Source organism: Homo sapiens, chromosome 1 (assembly GCF_000001405.40).
Source record: "Homo sapiens chromosome 1, GRCh38.p14 Primary Assembly".
In the NCBI taxonomy this organism is placed as follows: domain Eukaryota; kingdom Metazoa; phylum Chordata; class Mammalia; order Primates; family Hominidae; genus Homo; species Homo sapiens.
In genome coordinates, this window is record NC_000001.11 from 208,625,274 (window position 1) to 208,650,245 (window position 24,972).

At 42.1% G+C, this 24,972-nt stretch overlaps 1 long non-coding RNA gene across 1 annotated transcript, besides 1 other annotated feature; it reads right to left on the minus strand.

The window, feature by feature from the left end:
- Window positions 1-1,017: 1,017 nt before the first annotated feature.
- Window positions 1,018-12,975, minus strand: LINC02769 (long intergenic non-protein coding RNA 2769). Its single transcript, NR_187286.1, has 3 exons — window positions 10,712-12,975; window positions 2,701-2,823; window positions 1,018-1,640 (listed from the first exon to the last, which is right to left on the minus strand). It is a non-coding gene; the product is annotated as a long intergenic non-protein coding RNA 2769 (long non-coding RNA).
- Window positions 7,026-7,195: an enhancer, noted in NCBI's record as "experimental_2148 CRE fragment used in MPRA reporter constructs". NCBI's record gives its function as "activates a minimal promoter by MPRAs in K562 erythroleukemia cells, with activity observed for the non-introgressed 1:208805729 variant allele {active_cell/tissue: K562}" and the evidence as "EXISTENCE:reporter gene assay evidence [ECO:0000049][PMID:34662402]".
- Window positions 12,976-24,972: the final 11,997 nt, after the last annotated feature.

Here is a 24,972-nt window from a genome sequence, read left to right on the forward strand (position 1 = left end):
GCCCACCCGACTCCACTATGATCTCATCTTAACTAGTTACACCTGTAACAACCCTATTTCCAAATGAGGTCACATTTTGAGTTACTGGGGCTTAGAATCTCAACATATCCTTTTTTCAGTGACATGTAAAGTTCACTCATAAAGTGACTATCATAAATTCAGCTCATAAAGGCATTAAAATAAGTTGAATTCCCTTTTAGGAGAAGAAGTGGTCCAAGGGCATGGGGATCACAGAGCATGAAAAGGCAAACACACCTTAAAAATGCTTTTGAGGGCCAGTCACGGTGGCTCACGCCTGTAATCCCAGCACTCTGGGAGGCCGAGACAGGTGGATCATGAGGTCAGGAGTTCAAGATCAGCCTGGCCAACATGGTGAAACCCTGTCTCTACTCAAAATACAAAAAATAGCCGGGTGTGGTGGCACGCACCTGCAATCCCAGTACTCAGGAGGCTGAGGCAGGAGAATGGCTTGAACCTGGGAGATGGAAGTTGTGGTGAGCTGAAATCGTGCCACTGCACTCCAGCCTGAGTGATAGAGTGAGACTCTATCTCAAAAAAAAAAAAAAAATATATATATATATATATATATATATATATATACACATACATATGCTTTTGAGGTTTGCATCAAGAAGCAGGTACCCAGGTATCCTATCTTCTAGTCCCCTCCTCACAAGGCAGGAGTGGCTCACAGGCACCAGCTCCCCTGCAGGGCCTTGTAGGAAGACTCTGACGACAGCAAGATCTCCCCAACACATATTATAAAGTGAGAGGCACAGGCATTTGTGCCTTTGCTTCTGGGGAGAGTCCTGCATTCAGAACTTTTCTTGACACTTAATTCAGTCTTGTCCTCAAATTTTCCAGAATCCAGAGGCCAAAACTAAGGTTCAGTTCTTGAATTTGCCTCATGTTCAAGTGTTATCACATTTATTATACTGAGGACATGTGGGCCCAGATGAGTATGTTCTTTGTACAGGTTGGAGAATCTGGAAAATCTAGAAATCAAACTACAGTCTCAGTTGAAAAAGCCAGGGAGATTTATTCTGAAGAAGAGAATAAAGGATTGGGGAATGGAAATAATGACTGCTTTCAAACAATTGACGAGCTATTACTTAAGGAGACAAATGGTTCTTACATATTAGTTTTTCTTTTTGATAGAAACCCCTAGCAAACAAAAAATATTAATACAGAAGTATAAAGAAATTGAACAGGGAAAAAGAGAGAGAGAGATGCTCAAGTTGAAGCAGAATGTTTCAGGAGATAGGCCAAGCTCTCTCAAAATATAATTTTGAGCATGTCAAAGACTCAAAGAACCTGAGAGTTGTAAAGCAACTTGAGGTAATGTCATCTTTGTTTTCTTTCTTAGTGCAGGAAATACTTTTATTGCATTCCTGACAGTGGTCTTCTAGCTACCACTTGATTATTTCAAAGACACAGAAATCACTAACTATACCACAGAGCATCCCATTACCTTTTGGATGGTCAGTTTTAATTATTAGAAGATTCTTCCTTATCTTGAGCCAAACTTTAACCCTTGATTTCAACCACCCTTTGGATAATCCTCGGCCTAGTTTCCAGTGTATGTTTTCCAGACGGGTTCCATTCAGCTCTAGGGTTTCTGGAGACCCTCCTGTATCTGTCTATGATGGAATGAGGAAGACAGAGTGATAACACTTGAACATGAAGACAGCGCAGAAATCATATAATTAATTTTCTCATTTACTTGTAGTCCTAAGACGGAGGGCATAACCTGCAGAAGTCAAGTTTGCCTAAAAATATATATATATTTATTTTAATTTAATTTTGTTTTTTTTTTTGGAGGCAGAGTCTTACTCTGCTACCTAGGCTGGAGTGCAGCGGTATGATCTTGGCTCACTGCAACTTCTGCTTCCTAGGCTTAAGTGATTTTCATGCCTCAGCCTCCCAAGTAGCTGGAATTGCAGGTGCACACCATCACGCCCAGTTAATTTTTGTATTTTTAGTAGAGACAGGGTTTCACCATCTTGGCCAGGCTGGTAACTCAGGCAGTCTGCCTGCCTTGGCCTCTCAAAGTACTAGGATTATAGATGTGAGCCACGTTGACCAGCCAAAAAATTTGTGATACTGAATTCCAATCCTCTCGGAAGTGATCATGAAGACTAATTTCCTGGTTCTGAAAGTTTTCCTTTATTTGATCTTTGTATGTCATTTTACTGTCACAGAGTTGCTAGGGAGTAATCATTTCCACTCTCAGCCTACCCTAGACACACACCATGCTCATTCTTAAATCCATGAGTGTAGCACACTTTATCCCTCAACTAGTACTGATTGTATTTAGCAGGCTGCAGTCATTGAAGGCAAGGACTCTGTATCCACATGCACTAATGCTTTCCTTTTACTAGGTGCTCTACAATGTGTGTTGAATGACTGAATGATGCATCTTTCTATGCTGTTATTCTTGGCTTCTTGTCTATCTTCCATCTCCCTACCCATCTAAATTGGAATGATAAGCAACTTGAGGTGAGGTCTGATGCTCTGTATGCTGCTGAAATGGCAGAGCCCTTAGGGAATGCTGGGCACTGGAGAGTAACAGAATAAATACTGTTGATGGATGATTAGAGAATGAGTGGGTCAATTGTCGCCATGTAAGTCTGGGATTCATACACATGGGCATGTACTTACATTTCTATTCATGTTTTATATAAAGGGCTTTTGACTCACCTTGGTACCTTGATCCAGTTTCCTCCAGCACAGTCCTGTGGTCAATGCTCGGGTCATGGAAATACTTCACATAGATGCGACAGCACACACATCTTTTATGAGCTCTGGTGACTTGGGTTGTACCTTGAAATTGCAAAAGTGAAGGTTTGTTTAATGATTTTTAATTAATTTTAATTACTTACATTTTGAATGGTGGCTTAGCATTCTGAATCCCAGCCCCTCAGATCACTCTGGGATGCATGCCAATTTTCTCATTACACACTGCTCCCCTAACACTATTTGATAATGAAAGGCTTTAAAGCAACCCCCACTCAAATATTCAATATGTAATGGGGAGCTCTTGGGAGACAGGAGTGGATTACAGTGTGAGGTATAGATAATATAGCTTATTGGACCTGAATTTATAAAAAGATATTTTCAGCGGGGGAACATTCTGCTTTTGGCAATGAGGCAGAACTCTTCCTCCTTTTACCCTTGTCACTGTGCTTCAGTGTCCTAACCCTAATGCAATCCTCATCAATGCCTGGAATGATGAGCTAATAGGAGCAATAGTCCCAAAGGGATTAGATTGCATTTCCCCTAAAGGTTGAAATGTCATTTAATTTTAAAAGATGTATTGGAGATAAATCAGAGGAGAGCGAGAAGTGGGAAGCATTCACTCACTAACGGAGAGGACATAGGTAAGATACTTTTTAGTTTTAGATGGTAAAACACACACCAGCATAGACTTCCAAGCAAGGTTGAGAACTCCCTAGGGGCAAAGACCATAGCATTTTGTAATGTACGTGAACTTTGACACAATACCAGTGAAGTTCCAAACACTGAAATGTTTTAGCTGTGGGATCAGGGAAAATAATTTAGCACTCAGAATTTAGTTTCCACAGTTCTAAACTCATTCCTGTCTCAACGACCATGGAGAAAGTTCAATATAGTATTTGGCACATATTAGATGCCCCCAAGTAGTAATCTCTTCCCTCCTTTATCTTATGTTTAAAACTATAAACAGGTCTTGTTTTTTTTTTTTTTTTTTGAGACCACATAGGGAAAGTTCTACCTAGAGGCAAGGGAGGATAAAATGATTCCTGGAATTATATATAGTGCCAAAATATTCCAAGGATATGATAATTTAACAGGCCTCATTTGTCTGTCTCCACTCTGATGTTGTCTAGAGAGAAAAGCAGTAGTAGAAGAAAGAGTTATATCTGCTGGAGAATATATGACAAACTTGATCCAATAGGTGATGGCCTATGGCCCTGGTTTCCTGAGGGTCCTGAGACTATGAATGAATGTTGTTCAGAGTGCTTGTGCTAGTGATGTAGCCTGAACCAGCTGATCAGTCTTGGGCATCAGAGAACTATGTATACAGCTTCCTGCTGCTGCTGAGACACTCAGCTTATTATCAGAGCTGAAATGGGAGGGGGTCAGACTACTATATTTTTGTGGACAATGTGGCTCACAGAGGAGTAAGATATAGCCACTCATGTTTATTCAAAGGATTTAGAAACACTACTTTTTGAGGTGAAGGCTGAGTGTTACTCCAATTCCAGATGCTTGTCAAAGATATTTACTGGTCATCATATAAGATATTTCATTTCTCTCTTTTTCTCTGCCCATTTCATTCTTAACTGGCTGCTTTTCCACTTTCTTTATTTTTCCCTTGGCTAACAACTGAGAGTTGCCATTTGAAGTCTCTGTCAGGAGTTGTGAAGTAGATATTTGTTAAGGTGATTAGGAATTGTTATCAAAGGAAAGAAATTTTAAGAATTATATGAGGCCAGCAGAGATGGCTCATGCCTGTAATCCCAGAACTTTGAGAGGCCAGGGCAGGCAGATCGCTTGAGCTCATGAGTTTGAGAGCAGCTTGAGCAACATGGCAAAGCCCTGTCTCTACAAAAATAGAAACATTAGCAAAGGTTGGTGGTGTGTGCCTGTAGTCCCAGCTACTCAGGAAGCTGAGGTGGGAGGATTGCTTGAGCCTAGGAGGTTGAGGCTGCAGTGAGCTGTGATTGCAGCTTTGCACTCCAGCCTGGGTGACAGAGTGAGACTCTGTCTCAAAAAAAAAAAAAAGAAAAAGAAGGGAATTATATGAGTTCACCAAAGTCAAGGATATTTGTTCTTAGCAGACTTCTTTTCTTGATCAACTCCTTGTCAAAAGACCGAAGAGGAAGTGATGGGTGCTGCCACCCAGGGATGTTGGAAGTGAAGGTGAACTCAGTAGAGGTGAGTCAAGTGGGAAGTAGCCGACCTCTTTTCTGTCCACAGTCTGTGCATAATTCATAGCACAGAGATTACATACAATTTCTTATTCGTGAACCGTTAAGCAGACTGGTTATTACTCTTGGCCAACTGAAAGGAGATGACTCCCTCTACCAGCATCAAGGACACATAAACATTCTCAGACCCTTAGAAAACAGTCATCAGTTCCTTCAAAATCCTTAGTTTTGAACTCTTGCTAAGCTGTTGCATATCCCCTTTCAAAAGGACCTTTTGCACCAAAAGACTCCACTGTCAGCAGGTGTAAATACAAGTATCACTCCTGGAGTATGGAGGACTGAGGGACAGGAGGTATACAGGCTGAAAGGGAAAGAAAAAAATAGAAGGAGTAAAGTCTACTCATTTTCTTCCTTATGGCAGTTGGAATTGAATAAAAAATAAGCCAGGGGCCCTACATTAACTAGGTTTCAATTCTATTCCTTCCTCTCAGCCCTGTCTTCTCATCCACATCAGAAGATGGTCCAAGTGTCTGTAATCTTGAGATGAATCATAACAGGTGTTTGAAGTAAAAGCTGGGAGTACTACTTCTGCTCTTGTGTTTTCCATGCAGCCAGAGTGAGTGAAGAGAGAAGAGCAGATGGGAGGGGGAGTCACAGAAGAAGTGTGGGCACGCAAGCTTTGTGTCATGGGAACTTCCCCCCAAGAGTGGGGTGCATTGGCATCGTGGTTTCACATAGGTGTGTGCCACAAGACACTGAGACTCACCTGCTTTCTTTACCCAATAGTTTAGAAAGCCAGCAAAATCCTTGTGTAGCCTGGATCAAATTCACTCCCATGCTACCCTGCTCAAGGTCCCAGAAGTATTTTTGTGTTCAATGCTATGGAGTAAAAGCTAAAAAGATACAGTTCCTGTCTTTGCAGTTTAACAAATTTTTATAGGCATTTCATATCTGACAGCCATTTCATGCTTCTTTTACTAAAGCTTGGGAGGCAGCCGGGGCCAGTTCTCAACACCTTTGAGAAGAGAATTTCGCTTCTTTGAAATTTTAGAGCAAGTTTTTTATAGCTTTGGCTCCTGTGTGTTCCTCGGCGCCTGTATGTGACGCATGTTGTGTTGCTTCCACATTTTTGTCAGTGTCTGGAAGTCTCCGAAGAGTTGGCAATGTCTCTCGCTAGCCCCAGGGACTCACTTTTGTTTCTTCATTGACTGAGTTTGTTCGCTCTCTTTCTACTCTTTTCTTCTCTCACTTAAAAAAAAAAATAGCAAAAGGCATTTTAAATGAGTGAGGCAGTAAGGTGCCAGAGTTGTGACTTCCATACCTCAGTGAGTAATGATAGGATTAAAAAACATTCCATATGTTTCATTCAGGTAGCTGTCCAGGGACCTTGCCATAAATAGAAAGTGATAGAAAGCAGGATATCACAGTGGAGCACAATACAGAGCCGTGTTCACAGAGTCCCATTACACCTCTTTCTTCCCTTCCCATCCAGCTCCCCAGGGCCTGGAGGAGCTGGGATGAAAGAGCCTTTCATGGAATGAAAAGCCAAGAAAGCCACACAATTGCCAGTGTCTTGGAGACAACAGCAAATGGAGTGTGACGCTCAGTTAATTAAGTGATGAAGGCAACAGAGCTCTTCCTGAGTTCGGTTGCCCTGGTCCCTTCAGAAGCAGAGGCAAGTCTGAGTTCGAGCCCTTCTGGTCCTAACAACTTTGCCCTCAGGGGTTTATCTGAGCTCTGCCTTGAGGCAGAGTGGAAAATAATCACCACCAATTCTAAAGCTGACAGAAGTTCTTTTTCGAGGTTCTTCTCCTCCACTGCGGTGGTGTGTGGTGTGTGGAAATAGCATTGAATTTGCAATCCAGTAGTCTCAGATACCAGTCCTGGCTGGACTTCCTTCTTGCTACAACTTGATTTCTCCTCCGTAAAGTGGGTTAACAGTAATTCTTACATCACAGGGCCATTGAAAGGATCAAGTAACATAAATATGTGTTTTATAAACTAATAGGTATTATCATGACATTGACATTGTAACTACTCCTAACTGGACTGAAAACATTCAAAGAAAGGCAGACTAGAGCTGATGAGAAAATGAAAGAGGTCCAAATGGAAGGGAGTGAATTGATATATATTTCTTTTTTTTCTTGAGACAGAGTCTCACTCTGTCACCCAGGCTGGAGTGCAGTGATGTGATCTCATCTCACTGCAACCTCTGCCTCCCAGGTTCAAGCAATTCTGGGACTACAGGTGTGCGCCACCATCCCCGGCTAATTTCTGCATTTTTAGTAGAGATGGGTTTTTTGCCATGTTGGCTAGGCTGGTCTCGAACTCCTGGTCTCAAGTGATCTGCCTGCCTGAGCCTCCCCAAATGCTGGGATTACAGGTGTGCACCACTGCATCCAGCCAATTGTATATGTACGTATACATACGTATACATACATATATATTTTATTTTCATTTATTTATATTTTGAGATGGAGTTTTGCTCTTGTTGCTCAGGCTGGAGTGCAATGATGTGATCTTGGCTCATTGCAACCTCTGCCTCCCAGGTTCAAGCAACTCTCCCGCCTCAGCCTCCCGGGTGGCTGGGATTACAGGCATGAGCCACCACACAAGGCTAATTTTGTATTTTCAGTAAAGACGGGGTTTCACCATGTTGGTCAGGCTGGTCTCGAATTCCTGACCTCAGGCGATCTGCCTGCCTTGGCCTCCCAAAGTGCTGGGATTACAGGCATGAGCCACCATGCCTGGCTATATATTTTTATTTTTAAAATTAGGTTACACATGCCATCTTAAAAATAAGCCCTGTTTTTTCTTGTCTCCTCATTCTATTTTGTTTTCTTTAACATTAGCCCACCCAGCTGGCTAGAGAAAAATTAAATCACAAATGAATAATCATTTAATTGTGATTTTTGCATAGTAGTAAGTGCTCAGGATGTATATGAATTAACCAGAAAGTCCACATCTAGTAGACAAAAAGAAGACTCCCTGGATGAAGCCTAGGTAGTCTTCTGGCCAGTGATCTGCCTGTCCCTGCATGGAAGGTGGCCTGCCTCTCAGAGATTCTTGAGTCCCTCCTATGACCTCTGGATTTATTGGTGTTCACTTGACAAATGAACTTAGCCATCTGAGTTTCTGAATTTGTCTGAACAATGTGAGTTTGGTTTCTCAGAGGTCTTTGCTCCTGGTGCCTATATCTGCTTCTCCCCAGAACATCATGTCAACTTTTCATCTCCACATCCACACCCCTAGACTAATAAGTCAGTCCTTCTCCGTGATTGCTCCCAACTTTATTGGTTGGTGCTGACACCACTAGCCTTGTCAGAGCTATTGAATAGGTAAGTTTTTGCATTCCTCTTCTTGACAGATTCAAAGTCTTTATTTATGTCTTTCCTAAGGTAAAAACTTTCTCAGAATCTCAGGCGTGTCCTATAATTTATAAAATAATACAAAACTCCAACCAAGTCTGGTATGAAAGCATATATCAGCATTTCCAGTGGTACCCAAATGCCCAACCCCTGTCTTTTCAGATACAATAGGTGAGATTACATTAAAACAGTGGTTCTCACATTCTTCTACAATCTGGCATTCTCAGATTAGAAGAGATAGCTCAGTACAGAAGTGATTCTTGTGAGGATAGGAGGGGTGGTAAGGGGAAATACCTTTCTTCAGTTGGACCAGAAGCTTGAGGAGGAAGAGGAGGTATGCTAATTTAAATAGGACTCTTCAGTGGGAGCTGGAATGTGGTTAAGGCTAAACACATGAATTGCCCATCGGGGTTACTTCTTGAAACATGAGACTAATGTCACTACTCCTTGGCTTTCATCATCAGCTCTAGAACCATAATTTTTCCGTAATGTATCATATGATTATAATTTGACTTGTTCAGGCTCCTCCCAGGACCAGAGCACAAACTCATGCCGTAGCTCTATTCAGACGTTTTTATATTGTTCCATGGAGCTGCAATCTCTTTTGGGAACTATACCAGGCTACATAGTATGCCTCCTTCATGTTAATGTTCACCCAGAACCTCAGACCTTATTTGGAAATAGAGACAGTGATGATGAATTTTATGTGTTAACTTTACTGGGTTAAGGGATAGACCAGATATTTGGTCAAACATTATTTCAGGGTGTGTTTGGAGTGTGTTTATGGAAGAGATTAGTATTTCAATTGGTAGACTGAGTGAAAAAGAGCGCTCTCACTAATGCAGTTGGGCAGCATCTAATACATTGAGGGCCCAGATAGAACACAAAGGCAGAGGAAGGATAAATTTGCTCTATCTTTAAGAGCTGAAATGTCTGTCTTCTCCTGCCCTCAGACATCTGTGCTTCTGGTTCTTGGGCCTTCAGACCCAGAATGGGACTTACACCATCATCTTCTCTGGTTCTCAGGCCGTTAAACTTGAAAAGAATTATATCACTGGCTTTCCTGGATCTCTAGCTCACAGATGACAGACTGTGGGGCTTCTCAGCCTCCAAAATCACATGAACTAATTCTTATGATAAATCACCTCATATATATATTTATAAATAAAGCAGATTGCCCTCTGTAATTTAGGTGACCTTAATCTAATCAGTTGAAGGCCTGGATAGAACAAAAAGGCAAACCCTACTGCAAGTAAGAGGGAACTCCTCCTGCCTGGCTGGAAGCTGGGACATTGATCTTTCCTGGCATTTGGACTCAAACTGAAACATCTGCTCTTTTTGGGTTTCAAGGCTGCTGGCTTTTGGACTGAAACTTATAGCACCGGCTTTCTTGGATTTCGGGCCTTCAGACTCAGACTGAACTGCACATAGCACCCCCGGGTTCCTAGCTTGCCAACTGCAGATCTTGGGACCTCTCAGCCTTCATAATTGTGTGAGCCAGTTCCTTATAATAAATTGTGTGTGTGTGCCTGTGTGTGTGTGTGTGCATGCAATCTCCTATTGGCTCCATTTCTCTAGAGAACCCTGACTAATACAGGGGCTTTGGAGATGTAATTTATTAATCTAAGATAAGGTCATACTGCATTTGGGTGGGCCCTGTTCCCACAACTGATGTCTTTATAAGAAGAGAAAACAGAGGCAGAGGCTCTTAGAGAGAACATCACATGATGACAGAGGCAGAGGTTAGGGTGATACACCTGCAAGCCCAGGGACACCAATGACTGTCAGCAACCACCAGCAGCCAGCAGAGAAGCATGGAGCAGATTCTCCCTTGGAGTACCCAGAAGGAACCAACTTTGCTGGTATCTTGATTTCAGACCTCTAATCTCCAGAACAGTGAGAGGATACATTTCTGTAATTGTAAGTGACCCAGTTTGTGGTACTTCGTTATGGCAGTCCTAAGAAATTGCTACAGTTTCCTACTCAACAACCTGCCTGCAATCAGTTCCTCTCTACTCTCTACTGCCATCCAGGACCGAGGTGCTGGTTCCCAGGCCCACCTGATGTCACATTGCTCCATCAATGTGATGAAGGCCCTCCTACTCTTACCCTCCCCATCTGCCTTCCCTGCTGATGAGCAGCTTGTCTGTCTGGGTCTCTTCTAGTGCCTGCCCTGAGTCTTCCCCTGTTATGGTCTGGAACAAGCCGTCACAGCCTTCTTGCTACCTTCACTGGCACCATCGGATGGCCTGGACTCCCACCTGCTTCCTGATGTCAGCCCTCTGGCCACAAGGAGCCATCCACCTGGCTGCAGCAGGGTCCGTCTCCACAATGCCTACTCCATCCCCACTGTGTTGGGAGGGGATAGTTTGTTCTAGGTCTGATTCCAGTCTATTTTACCCTCTTAGATATCCTTCTGTGCCAGGTTACCTGGTGAGGCAGGAAAGTCAGGATCTGAATTCTCTGAAATCTTGTTGTCATCCCCTCAGAAAGTATTGTTTGATGCAGGTGTCCTCCTGCCTCCGTTTTATTTACTGTGCAGCAAGTAGAGTCCCTTTATCTGCTTGGCACTTGGCCTCATTTAGATTCTTAAATGTGCTGGCGAAAGAGTCTGTCTTTCTGTGGGGAGCTCCTTTTGTTGTTTCATCCTTTTGACTTTCTTCCTTCTTCCTCTTTCTTTCTTCTAAAAATGAAAACAAAGGAATTTTAAATGAGCCAATTCATTGCTTACAAAAATGGTCTTATCCATATTTTGGTGAGTAATTAGTAGCATCGGAATCCTGCCTGAGCAATTTTTTTTGCCTCCCATCCCACCCCAATCAGCCTAAAAGTTATAATCTCTAAAATCAGAGTAAGAGGATACTTCGGCTGCTTTTTATGCCCAAAAAATTATATACATGTACATATGTGTACATATATATGTCTTTTTGTGTATTTATAGAGTATGTGAGACAGAGAAAGACAGATTAACTAATCAGTCACAGGAGGCATATGACACATGGATACAAGAGGCAACTACAAGGATTACTAGAAGCCAGTTGGGTGAGAACCGTGTACACCTGCACAGGACAGATGCTGGAAACAAAGATACACTATCTCTGGCACCTTTTTATGGAAAAAGAAATTTACCTCACTTTGGGGATGTGTGACTGTGGAGAATGTGGCTTAGTATTTATGGAGTGTTCATCTTGTAGTTAGCGGTTTGTCAATTCGTAAAATTTTAGAACTAGAGGACCTCTTACCTTAAAGATTAGGAAATGGAGCCCACGGAGGTTATCCATTCCATAAGCCACAAGCAATAAAGTATGGCCACTCACATCTAGAAACACATCTTGAATGCAGAATCAGTGCCCAGCAGTCACAGGACTGAAAGGAACTTTCATGACTTTTCTTCTCTGTCAACAGTAATAGGTGGATCTTTGGGATTTCTGGTCATTTAGGCCACTCAGTAACTGGATCCCAGTTTCCCTAATAATGTGTTGCATTTGCAAAGTCGACCCCCAGAATAATCTGCTTCTTCTAGTCCCACTGTCCAGTGTGCCATGAGATAGATACCTGCTCTTCTTGTCCTTTTTTGTCTTCATAGATAATGTTTATGTATACACTGTATATAATAAAGGGAGATTTTACCAGTGGGTTAGGATTGGCACAGATCATGCTAAAACTCTTTCCATAATTTAGCAGATACTCTCAGAGCACCTCTCACATGCCCTCAATCCTTTGCCAGTTACCAGTCGTGCATACAGTTTCAGATGTGCTTCTTTTCAGGACAGTCAGTCCCCAACTCTGTCCGAGGACTTCCCTCAAGATCCAGAACTTCAGCTTTTCTTGTGTATGCAGACAGCTGCAAGAGCTTAGGAATTTACATCCCTCAGGGAGTATCCCTTAATGACTGATGCGTGTGAGGGTATAAATAATCCAGCTACCCTGCTTCTAGTTTGGGATAACCCTAGTTTTGTGATTTACTCTCCAGTGTTTCCTTGCATGACTGAGCTAAAGTTACACTCACAGAACTTTGCTTCATATTGCACCCTTGCTTGGCTTCCTTCCCTTTCTATGTCCCACTTCCCTTCTCCCCTATGGATTTTGCCAGGGGGCACTGTGTAATAAACCACTTCCATAAAGATCATCATCTCAGAGTCTGTTTTTCAGGGACCAGAACCCAGAACACATGGACTATCTTATTTAGTGCTTTCAACAAGCCCATAATGTAAGTTTTTACAGAAGAAAAAACAGAGGCTCAGAATTATGGAGCCAAGATTCCTGTCCAGTTTCCCTGGCAGCTGAGTCCATGCTCTCAGCCCCTCCACTGTATGAGGCTTAGTTCTGTGGTGCTCCTCTTCCCCTGACTCAGGGCTGGCTAACCTACTCTTATTCCTGGGTAGGTGGAGCCAATGTCCTCTATCAAGTTTCTCTCAGCTGATCCCAGCATGTCCACTAGGGAATTTGACCTTTTTCCCAAGTCTTTGTAGCTCCTTTACTGAGTCTGGACTCTAGAAATCCCATACATCGTCATCCCCCATGAGCACCAGTGAATGATTTAGACTCCAAATGAATATACATAGCATACATTGTACCCAAAACCTTCACCCCACATACATTTGAACTCTAGAGTTAGATTCCTTATTCCCTTGCTATTCAAAGTGTGGTCTGTGGACTAGCAACATGGACATCATCTGGGAGCTTGTGAAAAGTGCAGAAGCTCAGGACCCATCCCAGATCTGTTGAATCAGAATCCGTACTTTGAGAAGACCCCCTAGGAGTCATGTAGGTTTTAGAAATTGAGCCCGAGTGGAACAGGACCTGATTTTGCCACGCTCCCATGAATTCAGCCACCTGGATTCCAACCCAGTCCCTCTGCACACCACCCCTCCCTGGCATGAGCTCCCAGCATTCCGTTTAGCCAGGACCAGGCCTTCTGTGTCTACTCAATTCATAGGATTGTGAATCTCTCCTCTAGCTAAGGAATTCTGCCTCTCTTCTCACAACAATCTCCCTCTCGATAAATTTAAATTTATTTTTTCCTGAACTAAAATGGACTCTCACCTTGGGTGGGAATAAGATGGCTATTTGCCTAAAAGACAGATAAACTACGCATACTCTTAATATAGAGGATACAACCTGCAGGAAAGACTCAAGTAGAAAGTGTAAGATGAGTCCTGACTTCTAACTTGAATTAAAAAATACCTAATGCCCTGACTAGAAAGATACATTCTAAGAAAGGAGTACCTCCACGTCAGATCATTTGTGAAAAGTGATTCCTTGAAGGTTGGCTGTATTGATGGCAAAGATTGCTGCATTCAGCTGTTCTTTATTAGAACTCCTGAAGATACACCTTCTTGGAAATACAAACCTGCTCTGTGGAAAAGGGAGAGAAATTTGTGGAAAAACAGATGGAAGTAGTGAGGACGCTGCTCCATAGGTTTATTTTGCAATCTTCACAGACAGTTTTATTAAAAAGACTTCCAGTCATAATAGGGCTGTGAGTGATGTTTGTTGAGAAAGGAAATAATTTGGTAGATGGCTAGTTCCATATGAAGAGCTATTGCAGCCACAAGGAGATCTGAAGGTATGGAGATTACTTCAGATATTTGTTATGGTAAAACACCAGCGGGCCTGACTTCTTTCCACCATCAGTAACTCCTTTTAACTCCAGTAGCAATTCAGCTTTGCTTTATTCCCCATTCATTCAATTTTTCCGTGGTCCTTCTTAAGTCCTCCTTACTTGGCCTTAAGCTGATCAAAAGAGAGATTTCCATTGTATATCAAAGAAAAGTTTAAAATACTTACCCTGTGGTAAGTACTTATCTCTCCCATTCCAGAGAGAAAGTGGCCATAGACAATATGGACATGAACAAGAGTGGTCGTGTAGCAATAAAACTTCACAAAAACAGGCAAAGGGTGCATTTTACCTGAGCCCAGCTCTAGAGAGACTTTATGATCTTCTCCATCACACATCTTCACCCTGGTCCAAACTACCTTTATTCCTTGGGAACGTAACAATAGTTTTCTAATTATTCTCCTTCTGCTTCCATTCTTATCAGCCTCTAATCCTTTCTTCCCACAGCAAAATGAACTTTAAAACATATGTCAGAACATGTCCCTCCCATGTTAAAACCCTTCTGTAGGTTTCCTTTTCAGAAAGCTTTGGATATTCTGCCATCACCTCCCCTCCCCTTGCAGTCCCTATCTTCATCTCTTATTGCTATTCTCTTGGTGCCTCTGTCACATTGCCTTTCTTTCAATCCCTAAAACACTCCAACTTCTTTTCTATCTCTGGGCTTCCCATAGGTGGGGCTCTGCCAAAAAGACTCCTCTCCCTCCTTTGCCTGGATAGCCCTGCTCCTGTTTTAAGTTCTAGAATTGGTGTCATGTCCTAGACTGGCTCCAAACTGAATTTCATCTTCTTTGTTATTCTCTCATATGGCAGCTTGCTTTTTTTTTTTAAAGCACTTTGTGTAATTTGTAATTATAAGTATACCTTTGTTTGTTGGCCACCTGTCTCCACTAATGTAGTAAGCTCTGTGACAACAGAGGCCATGCAGTTTGCCACCATGGACTCGGTGTCCAGAGCAGTGTTGGCACAGGGTAGGCCCAGGGTCTTGATTTTTGATAAATGAATAATTGGGCAAATGTGTAAATCAGGTGATTGTGTGTGATGGGAAAAGGATTCTTTGGGTAGAAACACAACAGGGTGCAAAGTCAACACCAGATCAGTTGCAGATTGTTTTGTGGGAAATGAATGATTCAACAAGAAAAGCTAAGTAAAGACTGAGGTAGGGGCTGGGTAAGAACAAAGGAGTTAGTAGGCAGCAAGTGTATTCACGTGCTATGGACTGAATGTGTCTCCGCAAAAAAAGTGTGTTAAAATCTCACACCTCAATGTGATGGCGTTAGGAGGTGGGGCCACTGCCAGGTGATTAGGATGTGAGGATTGAGCTCTCCTGAATGATATCAGTGCCTTTTAAGAAGAAACACTAGAGAGCTTCCTCTTCTCTTTCTCTCTCCCTCCCCGCTGCACCCCCCTCCACGATGTAAGGATACAAGAAGACAGCCATCTGTAAAAACCAGAAAAAAGGACTTCAACAAGAACCCAACCATACTGGAACCCTAGTGTTGAACTTCCAACCTCCAGAACTATGAGAAAAAAAAGTTTGTTATTTAAGCCACCCAGTCTATGGCACTCTGTTATAGCAGCCTGAACTAAGACAGTGAGAGACAGAAGACCCTTGAAGGCAGAAACCAGATTTCTTTGTTTCTTTTCGTGTCAGTGCATGACAGGATACTCCATAAATCCCAGTGTAAACTCAGAAAATGAAAAGAAAAAGTACTTGATTAAAGGATGAAAGCTTAGAGAGGGTTTTGGGGGGCTCCCGTACAGTTTTAAGGTTCAAAGACAAACACATTAGGAGTCAGGGGACATTCTACTTGGTTAAGTACTAAAGAGAATGGAAAATTAGAAAAAAGAATATGATTGATTCCTTAGGGTAATAGAGATAGAAGATTTGGTTAGTGGAAGTATGGTAGAGAAAGGAATGAAAGACAGAGCTAATTATTTCCCAGTATTCCTTCTTTCTTTCTTCTTTTTAGTAATAGAATCTCAAACCTTTACTTGAGAACACAAATTTTTGTGATACCCCATATTTTCCAGTCTGCTTTGCAGTTAGATATGCCATGTTCCTAAGTTTTGGACAATATATGTGAGTGGAAGTGAAGCATGCATCACCTGAATCTTTACAATGTAACAAGTTTCCCTCTACTCTGCCTTTCCTTCTTTCTGTTCCACTACTGAGTGTGGTGACATCTGGAGTAGCCACCTTGACCCTAACATAGAAGCCTCATGTTGACGATGGAAACACTGGAGCAACAAGCCTTGGTCCCCGTGTGACTCTGTGGAGCAGAGCTGCCTGTCCACCCTGTGCCTCCCACTAAGTTTCTGCCTTATTTAATCTCATGTATTTAAGGTTAGAGCAGGTTAGCCTATTACATAGCTAAAGCAGTGTGGTAGAGCTAGAAAAAAAAGTGCCCTTCTCAGGAGCCATGTAACAAAACTCCCTGGGCCACGAAAGACTGAGAATGTGGTACTAAGTCAATAAACTCAGTTCCAATTTATCTGTCAAACTGGATAACAGTTATTCTAAAGGGGTGTGATTGGTAGATCTTTAGATTAGTAGACCTCTCCACAGTAAGTTCTTATAACTCTAAACATATGGTGAAAATGGATTAATCTTACTGATGACTCATTCCCTGGATGGATATAGAAGGACTAGGATTGGGCTGAGGATGTGAAAAGATAGCAAAAAGAGGACAGTTTCTTCAGTGATTGTGACGAGTGTCTGCCTGGCATTTGTGGATTGCTCTATGTGTGCATTCTATCTGCTCATCTAGGTTTTAAGTTTCCTGAGAGGATGTTTAGGTCATATTTATGTCCTCCATGACATGAAACCCAGTGTTCTGCACATGGTAAGTGCTCAGCAAAAAATTTCTGACTGAATGATTAACCGAAAGTTATTTTCCTCTGTCATGAACACTTCCTTGTTTCCTGTGCTAACCTCACCCCTCTTCTAGCCAAACTATTCTGACATAACCCTAAAAGTAGCAGAAACAGGCACCCAGTAGTTCAGGAAACCCTGGGACTTCCCGGCAAGCTAAAAGCCAAACTAGATTATTGGTATGAATTTGAAAACCAAGAACCTCCAAGGCTTTAGAAATAGAAAAGGATTGAATTTGCATCAGTATCTGTCCCAAACTGTCTCTTGTGAAGAGGGAGAAATGAATGTCAGAGTAGGTAAGACGAGACCCAGAGACCAAGAGATAGAGAACAAGAGGTGGACTGAGAACAGCATATTCCAATTCCCTGAGCTGTCAATCCAACACCTTTCACCCCACATCAAATTCTCTTCCAATTTCTCCTGTTAAATTGCAATCCAAAACACACTGCAGATGTGATATCATTTTCCCTGATAACTGGACCCTCTGAGTTAATGACTTTCCTTCCTTCCAGTGGGGAAACAATTTCATTTTGCTTAATGTAATTATTGTAGTCTTTTTCTGTTCACCACTCTGACCCAAGGAGGCCCAGTTTCAGAGGAGCTCAGCTTCTCCTCTCCAGCTGCACGTGGAAACATTATTATTACTATAAGTCTACATTGTGAATTGTGGCACAACAGTCCACCTCAGCCTAGCCGATGACCTCTCATTGACAATAACCAGGGCTGGCCAGGAGACAAAACTGGTCGGTATGAAGGAGAGGTGTGTGCCTCAGAGGAAAATACAGACAAACTGCTTATGTTCTATGTTGTAACGTGGTTCACCCACAATTAAGTTCCCTGGTCTAGGGACAGAGTCTGGGAAATGTGAGTAGCTTGATTCTGTCATTTACCTTTCCCTGAGCCACAGGTGGGCTCTGGGAAATAGGAGTAGCTTGGTTCTGTCATTTACCTTTCCCTGAGCCACAGGTGGGCTCTGGGACCCTCTTTTCCTTCAGCGCTCCGTACTTCTATCCAGAGGAAATTTAAAGCAGACAAGGGTTAGCAGCGCTGAGCCCCAGCAGCCTTGAAACAATTGAATGGAGACTACTGAGCTCTGTGAAAGATGTGTCGGGCTCCTGCGAGGAGCTCCCTGAAACTAGAGGCAGCCACCTCAGCTTCACTGCTGACTCAGGCGAAGGCTTAGCGCTTGCACCAACATAGTTGATGAATGGGAGTGAGGCTAATTTGGTGTCATTTGTTTCCCATTTCCAAGCCCTCATTAAAATAATCTGCTCTGATTGTCTAGGGAAGTTATTTTTTGCACTTCCTTTCCCTTCACTTTACAATTTCACAGGCAGCAGATTTCTGTGTGGAGGGGTCCAGTCAGCTCTGAGGAGAGATGGGGGAGGATAGGAGGGGCTCAGGAATTGCTGGGAGCACAGCCAGACCTCTTGGCAGCCAGTGAGGTGGGAATCCCAGACCCTCCACTGTCCCCTGGACTGGATCCCTGACAAGCACTGGATTCCTGGTATTGAGGGATTCCACCTCCCTGGGAAATTCCTTTGATTAGAGAGTAAAAATAAAGGGAAATCTTGGTTCTGGTTAGCATATTTCAAAAAGGGTTCTCCGAGGAGGAAATGAAGCATCCCAAAATAGAATTCAGAGCTTCCATTCTCTCAGTCACCCATACGTGATATAGTTTAGCACACGCTGAGATGGTGAAGGGAATGACTGTCCATTTACTCAACTCTTGCTGAGCACTTGCTATGAGACAGGCAGTGTCCAAGATGATAGGGACACAGAGATGAGTGGAACACAGGGCCTATCTCCTTTTCTATCTCAGAGTGTATTCTTGCTCATCTATCTCCATTAATTCAGAATACTTGTCTCTGCTAACAGGCCCGCATTGCCATCTTCACACCCTTTTTGGGGATCCAAGTAATTTCCTGCAGGCTTTGTCTTGACTCACATCTCTGGCCCTCATCATTTTCTTGCCCTTGGGTAGAAATGCTTTGGTTTAGATTTTACTGTTCCAAAGCCAGTCTCTGACTTCTGCTTTTGGCTAGAGCCCAACCAGGCCAGCCCCAGCCCCAGTCCCATTGAGGGTAGCCCTTGAGTAGCAGCCCTAGAAAGTATTACATTCAGCTGGGGAGACAGAATGCCCACGTTTGCATAGATCATTGAAACTGACTGGACAGCACATGCCAGAAGTCTAATGCAGGGCTCTTTCCTGTACTCGCAGTCAGATGTTTGTTCCTGGCCACTCTCTCCGAGTCACAGATGCAGCAGAATCGCCCAGGGTCTCCTGCCCCAGCCAGATTTCCCAGAACCATAGCAGCAATCTCCTTCATTTGGCTTCTGTTTAAACCAGTAATAGGATTTACCCTTGGTTTGCATAACAGAAGAAGAGTTCTTTATTTTTTCTACTATTTATTATGACATATAAATTATGATAATACTGGTTAAACTATTTTTTATTACTCTAAATTGTCACTTACTATTTGCCAGGCTGTATGCAAGGCAATGAAACACTAAAGTCAACAAGGTACAATCACTGCCCTCAAGGAATCTATTAAAAAATGGGCCAAATAGCCCCTTTGGTTTCTGACTGTAAAGGAAGAGTCCTTTACATACAGGGTAGATATTCATGAAAATGTCTTCCTCCTGTAACATCTTTTTTTTTTCATTCTGGTGTCTGAATATCATTGACTCACTCCTGCCTCTTTTCCCCACTCCCTCCCCCAGCAGCTCCCTCCCCCAGCAGCTCCCTCCCCCAGCAGCTCCCTCCCCCAGCAGCTCTCTCTTATCCCAAAGCAGGGATGCCTCTTGCGTTCACGTGTATTACATGGTCTTCAGGCACTTCATGTTTCTACAATCAACATATTTTAAAGTCTTGGGAAAGGTTTTTAATTGGCTGAAATGCTGATTGCCATAACAACTGGCTAATGAACCATCTGGTAGCACATGCAATATTTATTTATGAATTAAACAGCTAGGCACTATGAAGTCTAGTTTCCTCTCAAGGACAGCATGGGGGCCATCTTTGGAGAATGCAAGTTCTCTGCAGGGGTTTGCTTAATGGATCTCCAAAAAGTCAAGAGAAGGGAAATGATGCTTCATTTCAGGGCAGGTGTGTATTCATGTTGAGAGGAAAACAGCAGAGTCATGGGCAATGGGCAGGAAATCCAGAGAGGAGAGGACAGAGCAGGGTTCCAAGAACTAGGAAGTGACCCTCCCTATCTTTTGCCCCTTAAGATGTAAAAAACTCTCAACAGTAATTTACAGCTAATTTGTTCTTCCTAAATTTAAGTAAATTTCCCATTCTAGCTGTGACTGTCAGACATTGAATGTATGGCAAAAAAGTTTTTATTTCCAACTGATGCCAGTCACTATGACTCTCGAATCTAAGGGTTTACTTTTAGGGGATCAGAAACCTTTTGAATATCTAATTCAAGCTATGGACCTTTCCTAGAAAAATAAATATATTCGTATTCACACAAAATATAATTGCAATATCGGGGCCCATACCCAATTGCCTACACCCCAATCTCAGGATTTGAAAATTCCAGGTTCAGATCCTGGGTCACCCCCATGAGTGTTTTAAATATCCACAGGTAATTTAATGACAAGGTGAGCACTTTTTTTTTCCCCATAGTCACTAGATGAACTATTCCAAGATGAATTTAGCAAATATGAAAGTCTAGCACCATGATTGGATCAAAAGGCGATTTCGGTAAAGATTAGCATTGACATTTGAAGGGGTCTTATAGGTAATACTTCTTTGTTTTCACCTGATTTTAAAGCAATTCAAGGACAGATTAGAGGCATGTAAATGGAGACCACAATGCCAGCTTTATTATTTGTTAATATATTTATTGGAAAGTGTGACTTAGGCTTTCCAAGATTGAACCCCAGAATTAAATAGACTTGTCCTCATAAAGGGGGAAGACTGGTGTTAATAGTCAATGCAGTGTCAGGAAAAACTGAAAACTTTAACAGGATCTGGGCATGAGGAGAAACCTAGATCTAGGGCTTTGGGAGCTGACCAAAGAGATTCTTAGAACAAAAGTTTAGGAAAATAAGTTGAGTACTCAAACACACACACACACACACACCACAAAAACAAAAACAAAACACAACCGAAATCAGTGCACCAAGAAGATGGTAACAAACTAGATAGGGCATCAGGGTCTCTCCCTTTTGTGCTGAGGTGGATTTTGACTGTGCATGGGTTTTGGAGCTGTTTGTTCATTGGTTTGTAGTTTTCTTTGCTCTAGGCAACACTTGCAAAGCATATAAACAAAAAGAGAAAAAAATCTCTATACTTGTTGGCTACCTTAAAAATTATCCTCCAGGCCCCCATGAAACTGGACAGCACAGGATTCTTCAGACTCTTTCTTTACTTTCTTTCTTTTCCCCGCCTTCCTCCCTCCATTATTCCTCTCTCCAGTCCCTCCCTCCCTCCCTGCCCTCCTTCCTGTCTTTCTGTCTTTCTTTCTTTCTCTTTCTTTTTCTTTTCTCTTTCTTTCTTTTTCTTTCTTTTCTTTCTTTCTTTCTTTTTCTTTCTTTCTTCCTTTCTTCCTTTCTTTTCTTTCTCTTTCTCTTTTTTCCTTTCTTTCTTTTCTTTCTTTCTCTCTTCTTTCTTTTCTTTCTTTCTTTCTCTCCCCTCCCCTCCCATCCTCTCTTCCTTCCTTCCTTTTCTTCTTTCTCTCTCATTCTCTCTCTTTCTTTCTTTCCTTCTTTGTTTCTCTCTTTCTTCTTTCCTTCTCTTTCTTTCTTCTTTTTTTTTTTTTTGACAGAGTCCGAGGCTGGAGTGCACTGGCATGATCTCAGCTCACTGCAACCTCTGCCTCCCAGGTTCAAGTAACTCTTGTGCCTCAGCGTCCCAAGTAGCTGGGATTACAGGTGCATGCCACCACACCTGGCTAATTTTTGTATTTTTAGTAGAGGTGGGTTTTCACCATGTTGGCCAGGCTGATCTCAAACTCCTGGCCTCATGTGACCCACCTACCTCGGCCTCCCAAAATGCTAGGATTACAGGTGTGAGCCAATGCACCGAACCTGCGTCTTTCTTTCCTTTTTTCTTTCTTTCTCTTTATTTCTTTCCTTCTTTCTTTTCTCTTTCTTTCTCTCTTTCTTTCTCTCTTCCCTTTTTTCCTTCCCTCCCTCCCCTCTCCCTTCCCCTTCCCCCTCCCTCTCTCCCTCCCTCCTTTCTTTTCCTTCCTTCCTTCTTTCCTTCCTTTCTTTCCTTCCTTCTTTCCTTCCTTTCTTTCCTTCCTTCCTTCTTTCCTTCCTTTCTTCCCCCTTCCCTCCCTCCCTCCTTCCCCCTCCTTCTCTTTCTTCCTTTCTTTCTTTTTCTTTCTTCTTTCTTTCTTCCTTCTCTCTCTCTCCTTTCTTTCCTTTCTTTCTTTCTTTCTTTCTTTCTTTCTTTCTTTCTTTCTTTCTTTCTTTCTTTCTTTCTTTCTTTCTTTCTTTTCTTTCTTTTCTTTCTTTTCTTTTCTTTCTTCACTTGGTCTACCTGCCTGACAGCCTTCCTTTCTTGGTTCTTTCTTTTTCTTTCCTTCTTTCTTTTTTCTTTCTTTTCTCTCTCTCCCTCTTCCTACACAACACACACACACACACACACACACACACACACACACACACACACACACACACACACACCCTAGCAACAATAAAAAGAAGAAACAGGCAAATAAGATATCCTCCATCTGTCCCAGGGAGCCAGCCTCTTGCCCTGTGTAATTTTCCTCTTTGCTGTCATCAGAAACCTCTTCCTCGGCCCCTGAAGATTCACACATCTCATCTGTTAACTTATAGGCAATGTCAATAAAGATATGTAATTTCTTAGAGAATCCTAGGCATTTGTACCTACCAATCAGCAGCTCCTCCATGAATTGAATGGAATGAGGCTTCAGTTTGATGGGAATCAGATATATTTTTAGTTTGTGGTGGGGGAAGGGGACTGAAGGGGGTAACCAGAGAAGAATGGAAAAAGCCCAACCCTATTTCATTAAATCTTCATGAATATGCAAAAGAGGAGTAATTGCCCTCTTCAAAAACTAATCATTCTGAATTTTACAAGCTGAATTATAAAACCTGACACACATATTTTTCTCTTTTATTATATTTGTAAGCACTACTCCTTCTGCAAAGAAAATCAAGTCCTATTTTTATCAGTTGCCTCCATCTCCCCTTTTTTTTGCTCCCGACCCTGTTTCTCCCTCCCTTTTGCTGAATGCTGCAGCATTGCCATGTGTATTAATTGCCCTGTGAAATGCACTTGAAGTCATTAGAATTTCCCATTCAAAACTGTTATCTTGTGCCATTATGCCTTTGCATTATATTTATTTAAATGTGCCTCTTCTGAGTTAGCTCATTTTTAACAGCTAGCCATGCCTGAAATATTGTTCCCATCCAAGCTGCTCTCGTATCATTTTTCTCTCTTCTATGGAAGAGATGTCTGCACTCTACCCTTCTGCCTTGACAGGCACAGCTTTGTGGGAAGGCAGACGTTGGTTGTGTGTAACAGGCTTCCTTGAGAAGGAATCCCAAGCTCGGGATATTTCTGCAATGAGGGAACCCCAGGGTCTGGATTAGATATATCCTTCCCAAGAGCAGGTTGCCTATTATCTGTCATATTTGATCTTCATTTATTCTAGAGCATTGACTGAAGAAATGGAGAAATCAAACCCAAGCTTCTAGTATGTTCTTTGCCTTTTGCTCTGAAGAATGCAACAGCGATGCCAATTATCACAGGTGTGACTTCCCAGGCACCATCCAATATCCACATGGTAATCTTACCTTGAGGAGAAGTAATGAATTAAATGGCCATGCAAATTCCCTCCCAGATGTGGGCTTCTTGGGGCTATAGGGAAATTCTGATATCACTTCTCTGACACTGAACTTTTTTTTTTCCCTACTAAGACTTTCCCTACTGTGAAAAGGAATAGCTGTTCCTATTTATCAAATGGACCTTTCTATTTTCACTTGTCTACTAGAGAATTGGCTTCCATTCCCATCTTCTCTCCAGTCAGAGGAGAAAACATACTTGATATGGTTTCACTGTGTCCCCACCCAAATCTCTTCTTGAATTGTAGCTCCCAAATTTCCCACATGTTGTGGGAGGGACCAAGTGGGAGATAATTGAATCGTGGGAGATAATTGAATTGTAGGGGCAGTTTTCCCAGTATTGTTCTTGTGGTAGTGAATAAGTCTGAGAAGATCTGATGGTTTTATAAGAGGTTTCCCCTTTCCCTTGGCTCTCATTCCCTCTCATCTTCTGCCATGTAAGACATGCCTTTCACCTTCCACCATGATTGTGAGGCCTCCCCAGTTATGTGGAACTGTTAGTCCATTAAGCCTCTTTTTTTTTTTTTTAAATAAATTACCCAGTCTCAGGTATGTTTTTACCAGCAGCATGAGAACAGACTGATACAATACTTTATTCAATAACTGAGCTTAGAAAGTATTATTCTTACATGTTTGTACCCCAGAAAGAATTCCACTGGGTAGCTTTTGCTGCTAAGCTCATGGGATCTCTATGTCACATCTGTGTAAAGCATGAAACCAATAACACAGCATCTCCCTAAGTGTGGTCTCACAGAGTTCTTATTTTACCCTTATTATAACATTTTACTTATGAGAAAATTGGAATAAAGAGACTTGACTAAAGTTTACTATCTAGTGAGTGGTGGAGAATGAATTTGAGCTCAGGTTCATTCTGGATTCTTTTTTCTTTCTATGACACCAAGCTGCCAACAGTAGAAATAAAATCAATGTGTAGACATAAATAGTTGGTAGAGAAAATCAAGAACAACATTATGATTGGGTTGGTCAGAAGTTTGACCTGGAGATTAGGAGGAGTGCTTTATGATATGAGGAGCAGGATAAATAAGTTTATCCTTCTGTAAAAAACAGAAAGTTGAGACCTCAGCACTCTTAGGATTCTTGCAAGGCTTCAATAAGGTAAGTTTAGGCAAAAGCTTTTGTGAGCTATGATGAAAGCTGCACGTGTGCAGAAATGTTAACCTTTTTGTTCACTGATGAATCCCAAGTACCTAGAATGTTGTCTGGGTAAATTCTTTTAAAAAGTCTTCAGTTGAATGAGTATGTGACATTATTATTATTGTCAGTACCCTTGGAGGTTCCCTTGATGTTATTATTAGTAAAGCATCAGACACCTGAGCTGGGAGTCTCAAAATCTAAGGGACTAGTCAG